Below are 13,420 nucleotides of genomic sequence, written 5' to 3' on the forward strand. Positions count from 1 at the left end.
CAAAAGGGAAGATACAATTACATATTGCTGAATTACATCAATTACCAGATAAATACATCAAATTTGTCAAATAAATTAAAAGTGTGACTTTGGCAAAACAATTTAATGGCTCAGAGGGTGGTGGGAGGCCTCATCTGCTTTTACTTTGAAAGAAGAAAATCTCTAGATTTTTGTCTATCTTTAGAACATAACGTACAGGACTCAGCCTTCTACTATAGAGTCAAATGCTAAATTTTTGGCTGAGGAGTTACGCTACTTATATGATAAAATCATACATGTCAAAACCTACCATATTTTATTAAACAACATCATGTAAAAGTCTGATTCAACAGAAACATTGGAGAGTGGTGATTTTCTTAAATATGTGAAAGTATGTGTATTTGTTTCCAAAAACATTTAAAGTGGCCATGATGGAATTATAAGTTTAAACAGTTTGAGTCAAACAGATAAACTTGCATGCATGAAAGCACATTAAACAGACTGGTTTGGCTGGGAATATTTGTTGCAACTCTCAAGGTCAGATACATTTTCATGTCTCTTCTCAGTCATTGCTTTCCTCCCACTGTCTTACCATTTTATCATTTAAATAAATGTAATTCATCTTTAAATGAATACAGAAAAAAGAATCTAGACATTATTTCTTTAGCAATTTCCCTTATGCTTATCTGGTTCAGAAGGTCACATGGTATATGGCCAAATAATTTTCCCAGCCCATATGCCACTTGGAAAACTCACAGTGAGACTTAGGTTGATGAATGAACAAAGATTATGAGAATGTTTTCCAGAACCGTCATTTAGATAGCAGCACTAATCTACTTTGACACATAATTACACATTTAGATAACCCCACTGTAACTATACACATGAGATTTTCTTGAGTAGAAAACCAGAACGGATCAGATAACTTATAATAAGAGAAGCAGCAAAGGAACCTCTTTTATAGTTGAACTTTTTTTCTTCAAAGCCAGGAACTCTACTTGTAACAAGCCTATCTCATTCTTAAGCCTTTGCATATCTTGCTGTAAGTCTTCTTCTAGACATGCTTTTGATGTTCTGTCATCACTATGTGGTGGAGAATAACTCACATTTTCTAATTCAGGTTTCATGCTTTTATAGATATTAGCAGTGGGACTGTCATATGTGGGTCCCTGAAACACACTTGCCAAACACCTTCTAAGCTTTAGAAGAGCTTCTAAGTTCCATATGGCTTGTGGAACAAGCGCTGTATTGGTTTTCGGCTTCATAAGTGTCTGCAATAGCAGAAATACTGTAGCTTTCTATTCGTATCACATGCTTCCATTCTTTGGAGTGAGCAAACCACAAATCAAAAAGACTTTTTGGATCTACAGACTGAGGCCAATGTCTAATGACTAATTTCCAATCTGTGGTATTTTGGGTTATATTTTCTCGTATTTGCATATCAAACTCTTGGTCTTTTTTCATTTCAGCCATAACTACTGGGTTCCTTAATTTTTCAATTTCTGTATCATTACAACAATTCTCTTTCTTCTTCTTCTCTGTGAGAAACAGGCTGCATGTCTGGTTTGTTATAATTTTTACAGTCTGATCTATTTTCATTTGAATAAAGCTTAGAAGATGACTGGCAAGTGTGTTGGAGGGACCCAGAGTATAAATGCAACGATAAGACCTGAGTGAGATGGGCTCCTTCTGTTCAGCCAATGCCTAGAATACCACAGAGTTAGACACTCCAGGTGCGTCTGCTTCCTCACCATCAGGGATAGGATTCATCAGATTACGGGGCACTCCCTTTAAGTTTGTCCCTCTTTAGAGTTACAGTGTAAGAGCTCTTCCTCAGGACAAACAGTAATTCTGGATTTTTCAAAACTTTCACCAATCTTCAGTTGAACTTTTTTGTAATGAATTTTTTTTTTTTTTGAGATGGACTTTCACTCTTGTTGCCCAGGCTGGAGTGCAATGGCATAATCTTGGCTCAACACAACCTCTGCCTCTCAGGTTCAAGCAATTCTCCTGCCTCAGCCTCCCGAGTAGCTGGGATTACAGGCATGCACCACCACACCCAGCTAATTTTGTATTTTTAGTAGAGACGGGGTTTCTCCATGTTGGTCAGGCTGGTCTCGAACTCCTGACCTCAGATGATCTGCCTGCCTCAGCCTCCCGAAGTGCTGGGATTACAGGTGTGAGCCACCACGCCCAGAATTGTAATGAATTTTAAAGGAAGTCCTGAATATACAGATATATCCTCTTTATTACAATTCTTACTCAGTTCTGGTTCTTGAGACATTTTTTTGCAGGTGCAAAAGTGGAAAATTAATTTGCTTCTTTTGTTTCTCAAATGTCTTTTCTGACAGGGTGCAGGTTTTAAAATTAACTTTATTCTAAATTGTTTCTCAGATGTCTTTTCTGACAGGGTGCATGTTTTAAAATTAACTTTATTCTAAATTAAGTATGAACAAAGAAAAAATAGAAAATAATTAAAACTGAACTGTGAAACTTAATCTATGTTTTACTACTCCTAAGTTGCTGGATTATAACTAAGAAGTAAAAATAATTTCCCTTGGCTTAATATAGGGGAAAAACGTGAACCAGGAAGCTTAACTCTCACTGTTTGTTTGGAGTAAACTTAATTCATTATCAATTAAATCTGACAGAAATAGGTTCACAGATGATATGTAGTATCTAAAGGCTTTCTCTCTTGAAAAGATTTTTACCTCAGCATACCCTAAATAGTGAACCCCTACAGTGAATTCATATTTCTAGGATTAATTAAAGAGTAGGCAAATGCTAAATTATTAGAAGCCAAAATGAATACCAATCAGAAAGGGAAGAAAACTTTTAGATTCTACTTCAAATGCTATACTGTAATATGATAGTGTTATCTAGATAGGTTATCTGCTTATACCCAGATCTAATATATTCTAAGCTCCACTAGTGACAGCGCTTTACAAATTTTAATAGCATTTTCTACTTATGTTAAAACAAGAAAGTTATTGTTTGCACCCTGACACCAAAGTCCCATTCTGGAAAGCATAATTCTCTCAATAGGCAGTTGGATTGCTTTTATGACCCCATCTTCTCCCTGAACATAGACACTGAAGGCAACCAGAAACCAAAAAACAGAAGAAGTCTTTAACCTCAGCACTGGTGACCGGCAACATAAAATTGCAGTTTGAACCACCGGGAATGATGACTCCTTTCACATGAGGTGAACTCAGTGGCCATCACCGTTCAATTGCTCATCATTTCTCTTGCTTAGTAATACAACTCCATTTTTGATGTTACCTTCTTTATCAGGAAGAAGATTATAAAAATAAAAGAGCAAAGAGAGTTCTGGAAATTTCTGGCCTCAATTCCAAGGGTACAGATAGCTATGAGTTACTATAGACTATTAGAATATTTTACATTTTATAACAGGCTAAAATATTTTAAAATTCAATATGAAATTATGCTCTGTTGGATTCTAAAAGGATAGTCTAAAAGGTCACTTCATTTGGCCTATGCTATGTTATTAAAGAAAAACAAACAAACAAACCAGTATTAAACCAGAAATTTAAATTGTTACATACCTGTGGCTGTTTATTTTCACTTCTTTGGAGCCTTTCTTGCTTTTCCTCTGAAGCCACTTTTAGGTTGTGTTCTGCTGACAAATCCATATGTTTAGTTAAAATGAATGATTTAAAGACTATAATCTTTATAAAAATTGATACAGAACAACACACACTTTTATAAATTGAGAGTTTAAATGAAGCTTAATGTTTACTGGAATATTTACATTTTTAAGAAACATTTCTAATTACCTAAAACTTTAACAAACCACTTGGGGAGACGCTAGATATCAGCAGGTTCAAGCCATGCAAAAGTCTCAGGGTCACCCAAAAATTATTCCACCCAATATAAAAAAACAAAACTGCTGGAAACAAAACAAAATTTAAAAATACAGTAAAAACATATAAAGTAACACTTTACTATTCTCTGCTTCATAATAGTATCTTTTTAACAACATGCTAAGCACGTTATTTACTAATAATTTGCAAAATTTTTGTTACTGTTATACCTTTACAGTGTACACCCTGTTTTTTACATCTGAAATATTTTCCTCTACAATTCTGAGGAATTTATTTTTGTGTTTTAAGACTCAGAATGTAGGCTGGGCACGTAGCTCACACCTGTAATCCCAGCACTTTGGAAGGCCCAGGTGGGATAACTGCTTGAAGCCAGGAGTTTAAGATCAGCCCAGAGACCATAGTGAAACCCTGACTCTATAGAAAATTTGCCAGGCATAGTGGTCTGTGCCTATAGTCCCAGGTACTCAAGAGGTTGAGGCAAGAGGATCCCTTAAGCCCAGGAGTTTCAGTTTGCAGTGAGTCTCGGTCATGCCATTGCACTCCACCCTGGGTGTCAGAGTAAAAACTTGTTTCCAAAAACAGAAAAAAAAAAAAAAAAAGGAAAAAAGGCTCAAAATTCTATGTGAAGTCCTCCCTGAATCTGGCTATCTTTTCTCCACGTACACAGGTGTCTCCTTTCTTGGGGCTCCCTTCGTACTTTTTGAATTTTTCTAGTGTCACTTCACCATCTGAGCTGCACATCAGGTCTTTGCATGTCTATCCCCTTTGTTGCTAGACTGTAGCAATCATCTCTGTGTAGACAGTCTTTATTTTACTAAATATTTATTGAGTTCCTGCTAAGTGGTAGGCACAGGTGTTTAAAGAATGAGAATAAAAGCTGTCAGGGATGGCTTTTCTAGAGATCATGCCTGAGCTGAGACTTAGACAGTGAGATTCACCAGATTAAAAGAGGCAGAGGGCAGGAAAGATAGCACATGCCAGGCAGCGGCAAGAGAGGGAGAGAAGCCTCCCAGAGCGTATGTTTTTGTTTACATGAGAAGGATGGTGACAGGGGCATCACCAGCAGCTCAGAAATGCCAGAAAAAGGGGCAGACAGAGAAAGGGCTGCAGATGGAGAATTGGGCAGAAGCCAGTTTCTGAAAGCCTTATATAAACCAACTATTATTGTCATTTCTTAAATTTTTTAAAAAAGCAAAACAAATTAGAAAAGCATAATTCCAAGAAAAAGACCAACATTTTATTTTATTGTATCTTATCTTATTTGACTTGAATTTTCTGAGAGATGGGGTCTCACTCTGCCACCCAGGCTACAGTATAATGTTGCTATCACAGCTAACTGCAGGCTCAAAGTTCTAGGCTGAAGTAATTCTCCTGCTTTGGCCTCCCAGGTAGCTGGAATTACAGGTGCAGAACACCACACCCAGTTACAGTTTTTGAAAAAATAGTCACGGGGTCTGGCGATGTTGCCCAGGCTGCTGGACCTCCAAGCCTCAAGGGATGCTTCTATCTCAGCCTCCAACACTGACTCATTACAGGCAGGAGCCACCGTCCCCAGCAACACCAATATTTTCAAATGAATAAACTGGAGCTCCATCATTTTATTTTATCATGGATGGGTGAAAACCTTGTAATAGACTGATGTACTCCATGGATTTGTGACAAGGAAACTATACCATTAACTACGGCTGAAGCTTCCCTTGTCTCCCAGTCTCTTTACATGGTTAGGAGTAGAGAACTCAAGTGTCTTACCTTTTGCACGTTCTTTTCTTTTTTTCAAATTTGCAGGCTTCATAGCTGCTGTTTCTGTCAAACATGCAAACTTGTTAGATATTCCTTCTGGAAAACATCATCCCTCTGCCTCCTTACCTGGCAAAGTTTCACTTACTCTGCATGCTTACCCTAAATCCTACCCATCTTTTTTAGAAGCTTGCACTCATCACCACAAATTTAAAAGTGAATGGCATCTAATGAACATACCAAATACACAGTAAATAATAACTATAGGCTCCCAGGTGACATCTATCCTCCATCTATCCTCTACAAAATGGGTCAGTACACTGCAGACCACAGGCCAAATCCTGCCTACCATATGTTTTTTCTCAATGCAGTTTTATGAGAGTACAGTCATGCCTATTCACTGACATGCTACCTATGACGGCTTTCACACTACAATGGCAGGGTTGAGTAGCTACGACAGAGACCACATGGCCTTCAGCTGCTTAAATCGTTCTTGAAAAAGAGAGAGAGAGACCACATGGCCTAAAATATTTCCTATTTGGCCCTTTACAGAGAAAGCTTGCCAATCCCAGCTTTATACCCTGAACAGAATGCCCTAAATCTCAAATTGAATCTAATGCCTCCCCTGCTTACAATTTTCCAATGAATTTCTAGAGCAAACACTGTTGGCTCCCTACCCAAGAGCAGTTCCTTGTTGTTTCTTGCTGGAGAATCACAAATCTATGTGGATATTTATTATCCCAATACCCCTCCTCATCTTCAAAACATAAGTGATTATTCTAAGCTAATCATATAACTACATTTGCTTTCCCAGTGCCTGGTTTAGGAATGAGCATGTGGTGTGACCCAGCTAATAAAATATTACAGAAAGGGCTGAGCACGGTGGCTCATCTTTGTAATCCCAGCACTTTGGGAGGCTGAGGCAGGCGGATCACGAGGTCAAGAGACTGAGACCATTCTGGCCAACATGGTGAAACCCTGTCTCTACTAAAAATACAAAAATTACCTGGGCATGGTCGCATGTGCCTGTTGTCCCAGCTCCTCGGGAGGCTGAGGCAGGAGAATTGCTTGAACCTGGGAGGTGAAGGCTGCAGTAATCTGAGATCATGCCACTGGACTCCAGACTGGTGATAGAGCGAGACTACATCCCCGAAGGAAAAAAAAATTTACAAAAAGTCCCCTGCATGCTTCTGAATTTTCTCCCAATTTAAAAGACACATGTGAAGAAAAGCAGCCCTTCCAGCCTTTAGATACTGTCTTGTGAGAACATGGTGTTTGGAGCTGTTGCTAAGTAGCCAACCATGAAGGGAGACATGAACAAGACACTGCCAACAGCATAACTGAAAGAGGAACAAGTGGAATCCAATAATATCACTGGACAACCAAAACAAGTCTGGTTCTTATGGTTTTGGCCACTGTTAGGTCTTCCAGTATTTGCAGCCAAAAGCATTCTACCTCAGAAGTTTCCCCTGGCCTACAGGATAAGATCTACTCATTTCTATACTATTAGAAGTCTTTTATTGAACTTGTATCTAGACACAGGTAAAACAACAACAAAGTCTTTCCCAAGCTTGCCTTCACTGACACGTACTAAGTATAATAAATAATAACTATAAGCTATTTTCACCTCATTACCAAGCACTCCATATATTTTTTTTTTGCACTAGTAAATTTGAACTGCTCATAAACTCTACAAAGTTCACTCAGGTGTCCTACCTTTTGAACTTGCTCCTTGTGTTTTAAAACTTTCATTCTTCATGGCTGCTGCTTCTGTCAAACATGCAAGCTTGTTAGATACTCTTTCTGCCAAGCATCATCCCTCTGCCTCCTTACCTGGCAAAGTTCCACTCACTCTGCACGCTTACCCTAAATCCTACCCACATTTTAGAAGATTGCATTCATCACCACAAACGTAAACGTGCCTGGCACATACTGAACGTGATACATATGTAATAAATAATAACTATAAGCTCCCAGATGACATTGGACACACAGTAAGCACTATTTCAGGTAGTAAATAAAATAAATAACAGTGGTAATAACAATCTCCCAACTGTATTTTTTAAATGTATTTTGTAACATTGGAAAAATGCTTAGTCTGTAACAGATACATGATAGTTATTATTTAAGTGGACAAGTATTTGAATGAATTACAGTATTTTTCTTAAAAACTCTGTTGAAAAAACACAAAAATTAAATAGTTATCTATATTCTATTATGAGCACCTTAAAGACAAAAACTATGTCAATTCCATCTTTGTCTCCTGCAATTTGCCAAACCTAACTTATAGAAGTGGTTTGACAATTATGTACTAAGTTAACGGTGTCTTTATACAGTTCAGATTGTACAATGCATTAGGTGTTACATTTTTGTTATTGTGAACCATTTTTATAATTTTATTATAATTTTTGGAGCCTAGAGTTTGGCTATTGGAACATTTATTATGATTATCTCTTGCCTAATGGTAACAGAGTATGGTTTTTTTTGAGATGGAATCTTGCTCTGTCACCCAGGCTGGAGTGCAGTGGTGCATTCCGGCTCACTGCAATCTCCACCTCCTGGGTTCAAGCAATTCTTCTGCCTCAGCCTCCAGAGTAGTTGGGAATACAGGTGCCCACCCCCATGCCTGGCTAATTTTTGTACTTTTAGTAGAGATAGGGTTTCACCATGTTGGTCAGGCTGGTCTCAAACTCCTGACCTCAAGTGATCTGCCTTCCTTGGTCTCCCATGTGCTGGGATTACACATGAGCCACCACGCCCAGCCTGGTAACAGATTATCTTGTTCCAATAAAATTACTATTATTATAATAATTATCCAGCACATAAAAAAACACAGCTTGTTCTAAGAAGTGAATATATCTCATGAGGTTCCAACTTATGGTGAATAAATTAAAAATAGACCTTGTTTGTATAAGAATATGTAACATAACTTCTGCTTCTTGGAAAGGAATTACTTTTCTGTCTTCTGCATTCAGTAGCTATCTTCAAAAATAATCTCCTATTTGTATGGGTGCACATTAGCTCAGTTTTATGGTTCTTATTGCCATTTGTTTACGGTGTCAGAAAGGGATTGTTGAATTCCTAGTTCTAAAGACAGTTACGTTCTTAGTGACACAGATTCCTGTGTAATGCAGTTGACCCTTGAACAACAAGAGTTTGAACTGCAGGGGTCCACTTATACGCAGATTTTTCTTCTGCTTCTGCAACCCAGAGACAGCAAAACCAACCATTTTCTTCCTCCTCAGCCTAATCAACCTGAAGATGATAAAGATGAAGACTTTTGGGAGGATTTGCTTATGTTTATGAACAGTAAGTATATTTTTTTCTTTTCTATGATTTTCTTTATAACAGCTTCATTTCTCTAGCTTCCTTTATTCTAAAAGCATAGTATATAATAATGCAACACATACAAATACGTGTTCACTGACTGTTCATGTTATCAGTAAAGTTTCCAGTCAATGGTAGGTTATTAGTAGTTACGTTTGGAAGGAGTCAAAGTTATACTCAGATTTTCAACTCCACAGGGATCACAGTCCCTAACCCCCACAATATTCAAGAATCAATTGGAATTAATATTTAGTTACTAAATGTAAACCATTTACTATAAAAATTAAATAGAAGATCCATTTGCATAACAAGTCCAATGCGTAACAATGTAATTATGGAGGAAATTGCAACATATTAACTTAATCTAATTTCTTATTTATATTAATACAAAAATATGTAGAATTTCAAGGATCATAAGTAGGTAAATGAATTTTTTCAGACAATACTGTTTGAGATTGAGAATTAGCTACAAATTCCTAAATAACTCTGAATTCTAAACTAAAGAAATTAAATTTAAAAAATTAATTTATATATAAACATATATATTTTAAACTGCTCTTTTATGATTAAAAATATGTAATCTCACTTTTTGTTTTCTTTGGAGATAGAGTCTTGCTCTTCCATCCAGGCTGGAGTGCAGTGGTGCAATCTCGGCTCACTGCAACCTCCACTTCCCGGGTTCAAGTGATTCTTCTGCCTCAGCCTCCCGAGTAGCTGGGATTACAGGCGCCCGCCATGATGCCCAGCTAATTTTTGTATTTTTAGTAGACATGGGGTTTCACCATGTTAGCCAGGCTGGTCTCAAAATCCTGACCTCAGGTGATCCACCCGCCTCGGCCTCCCAAAGTGCTGGGATTACAGGTGTGAGCCACCATGCCTGGCCTGTAATTTTGCTTTTTAAAATCAGTAAGATCACCAAGGGAAATGAGAAATTTACTATCAGAAGTCTTACCTTGATTGTCATTTCGAAGATGATTTTTAAGCATTTTATTTTTATGTTCCAAAATTTGTTGTCGGATGCTATGCATAATAAACGTAATAAAATTAGTATTTTAATAGTGATATGAAAAATATTTGCCAAACAGATTAAATTCTTAAAGCATTTCAGACAATATCAGAGCTAATATCAGAAATCTAATGTCCGATACACTTTAAAATTTTAAGCTCTATAAACTTATTAAGCTTCTAATTGAACAAGAAAAACAGGAAGTGCTCATAAACTGAGAAAAGCATAGCTCAGTAAATTAATTCTAGTTAGCTTAACAGCCTGGAAACTGTCCTGCATTCACAGTAAGTCCTCGCTCTGTAACCAATAGGTATTTTGTTTTCAGACCAGTTGCTTCTCTTAGCCTCCATGGCTTCTTCTAAAAAATAAAGGTTTTACTACTTGACTTCACTAGGTCATTAGGAAGATGCAATGAGAAAACATGTTTAAATGTTCAGAGAAATAGTAAAGCAATGGAAAAATTTATTCTTGAACTGCATTGCTGAAACCATTTTGGAATCTCAAATAAAACCTGATGAGTGTTTTTCCATAGTTTCTAATATTCGAATGTCACAGTTTTCAGAGAATGTTATTAAGTGCTAATTTTGGTTATTAGTTCTATTTATTGTGGCTTGTAGTTCAGAGCATTTTAGCTAGTTCATAACTTGTAACTAAATTTATATACAAATATATTATTATCTCATTAAAACATATACTCTAATTTTCCCCTATTACTGAACTCATCAATCACACCAAGGGCAGAAAACTAATAGGTGTCAAAACCTGGCTGGGACAACTACCATTCCTTCTCTACCTCCTCAAACTCAGAGCCAGCAGGTCTGTGTTAGAGGCTGCATCTTCTTGGTCCTCTCCAACTGACATACAAGACAAAGCCCTGCTTGTATTGTTTTTCAGTTCCAGATGCAAGTTGATGTTTCCTCATTTCCAAGTCATGTACTAACAACATATTTGCATGTAACATCCCGTGTGCTACTCAGCTCTGTTCTCATTTCACAGATCACCTTACATGAATACTTTTATAATGATTTTCATTATGAGATTATATAATCTATAATTATATAATATATAGATTATATAATCTATAACTATATAATAATAGATTATATAATCTATAACTATATAGCTATATATATTTATAATAATAATATAAATATAAAAATATAAAATATAAACTATAAATAAAAATTTAAAATAACATAAATATAAAAATAATATAATTATATACATTATATAATAATTATATAATATATAGATTATATAATCTATATGTAATATAATCTCACATAAATATAAGAGATTTTCATTATTATGGAAACACATTACTTGAGGGGCCAACTCCAAGTTGGTCCCCATTACTCTATTGAAGGATAATGTACACAGGTCAGAAAAAAGCCTCAAGGTACAGATGTGATAACAAAAGGCAAAGAGACCTCTATTCTCTTCCTGCAACATTATTTGAACATCCCTAGCTGTTGAGTACAATCCCAACTAATATTTGCTAGAGAAAAAATGGACACTGGTCTCAAAGGATAACATACCATGAAGGTACAGGCTAAGCCTAGCCAAAAGGTGGGCTACAAATAAGATTTTTAGTGTTGGGGGAAGGTCAACTTACTCACTATGTGTGTGGGTAGAGCCAGGAGGCCTCGCTGCCAGAGCAGGGTGCTGGGAACAATGGCTGAGCCTATGTACATGAACTAAAAAACACTGTAGCTGTGGGCCGGGCGCGGTGGCTCACGCCTGTAATCACAGCACTTTAGGAGGCCGAGGAGGGTGGATCACAAGGTCAGGAGATCGAGACCATCCTGGCTAACATGGTGAAACCCCGTCACCACTAAAAATACAAAAAAAATTAGCCAGGGATGGTGGCGGGCGCCTGTAGTCCCAGTTACTTGGTAGGCTGAGGCAGGAGAATAGCGTGAACCCAGGAAGGGGAGCTTGCAGTGAGCCAAGATTGCGCCACTGCACTCCAGCCTGGGCGACTGAGCAAGACTCCGTCTCGAAAAAAACAAAACAAAACAAAACAAAACACTGTAGCTGTGGACTCTGTGTATGAGTCACCATGAAGAGTGAGGGATCTGAATCAGTAAGGGCATCCTGGTGGCAAAAGTCAATCATTACCAGATTGCAGGACCAGTTACAATGGCAGCAATACAGCAAGTGAATCAATGGAAACAACAGAATGACTAGAATGGCCTTTTCCCCTCTTCTTCTGACTTGTAAAGCAAGATTGTCTTCCTTGGGCTTAGGGAACCCCTTAGCTTTTTGAAAAATTCAAAGGAGGAAGGCATAGGAGGTAGCCCTAGGGGATAATACAAGATTTTCTGCTAAAGTGGACATTTCAAGACCCAATAACTAATTAGAAAAGTCAGGCCAGGCATGGTGGCTAGCAGTTTGCGAGGCCAAGGCAGGAGAATCACTTGAGCTCAGGAACATGAGCAACATAGTGAGACCTTGTCTCAAAAAAAAAAAAAAAAAGGAAGAAAGAAAGAAAAAGTAAAAGATGGACATTATTTCTATCTCACATATGAGTTATACTTGGAATAAAATGAACAACACTGAGATTCCTAGGGATAAAGGTCTTTAAAAGTCCGGAAAGAATCTTGCACTCATTGCTACTTCTAACTAGTCTAGCTTTCTGTGTGATTTCTGGCTAAAAAGTGGACTAACTTGTTGCCATTCCAAGCTACCTCAACCAAACTATGAACTGTCACCTAATGTATAAGATGCAATAGTTACAATTATTTTAAACCTTAATTTAGTATTAACCGGTCTTTTAATATAAGCACATACCTTCTCAAATCAGAACAAAGAGCATAATCCTCGGCAGTTTGGCCAAACATGTCTTGAGAAGAGATACGTATATTTTGTTGAAGCAGGAGGGTGACGATACTTGACAAGTTATGCTGTACTGCAAGTATGAGGGCTGTTCTAAAATAATAAAGAAATAACAGCACTCAAGAACTTTGATGAAGATATTTAATTAGCAAATTGGATACACTTTACCAATTTCATATCTTGCCTGTCAGGATAGACATAATAACCATTTACATGTACTAGCTTATGTGTATAAGCATCTTGGGTGCTCAAGTGTTCATCTTGTTAAATTACCACCAAGGCTAAAAGGCAGGGACAACAAGCAAACTTCGTGTCCCATTGGGACATGACGTAATACAAATTGCTAATTTATAGTCCTTTGATGGCCAAGAAACTGTGCTGAGGTCACTTATCTAAAGTGGGCAAAGATTTAGGTGAAGATTTTCCCATTGCTTTCCCATTGCTTTGAATTATATTGTAATTCAAAGTCAGCTAGGGATCAAATAAATAAGAGCTATCTGCAGGCTGAAAACAACAGCATCAACAACAACAGCAACAACTATAATAATAATAATAATAATAATGGTAATAGTAGTAGTTGTAAACTGAAAGTTAAAGTCTACACTTCATAAAATTAATAAAATACAAACCCCCTTTAGCTAATATAAGATTACAGGACCAAAAACACCAAATTACAAATAACAGTCTA

General features: G+C 37.1%; 1 protein-coding gene across 9 annotated transcripts in view; it reads right to left on the minus strand.

Annotated features, from left to right (window-relative positions):
* Positions 1-13,420, minus strand: part of ANKRD18A (ankyrin repeat domain 18A) — a 54,446-nt gene that overhangs the window by 31,435 nt on the left and 9,591 nt on the right. For 4 of the 9 annotated variants that reach the window (XM_024447481.2, XM_024447480.2, XM_024447479.2 and 1 more), the window contains exons 5-10: positions 12,688-12,825; positions 9,841-9,908; positions 7,278-7,331; positions 6,568-6,702; positions 5,574-5,627; positions 3,546-3,619 (exon numbers count right to left, since the gene is read on the minus strand). In XM_024447481.2, the coding sequence (XP_024303249.1) occupies positions 3,546-3,619; positions 5,574-5,627; positions 6,568-6,702; positions 7,278-7,331; positions 9,841-9,908; positions 12,688-12,825 (523 nt within the window). The remainder of the gene's footprint in view (positions 1-3,545; positions 3,620-5,573; positions 5,628-6,567; positions 6,703-7,277; positions 7,332-9,840; positions 9,909-12,687; positions 12,826-13,420) is intronic. The other 5 variants (XM_024447483.2, XM_011517839.4, NM_147195.4 and 2 more) reach the window with 2 other exon arrangements.

Source organism: Homo sapiens, chromosome 9, assembly GCF_000001405.40.
Source record: "Homo sapiens chromosome 9, GRCh38.p14 Primary Assembly".
Lineage (NCBI taxonomy): Eukaryota > Metazoa > Chordata > Mammalia > Primates > Hominidae > Homo > Homo sapiens.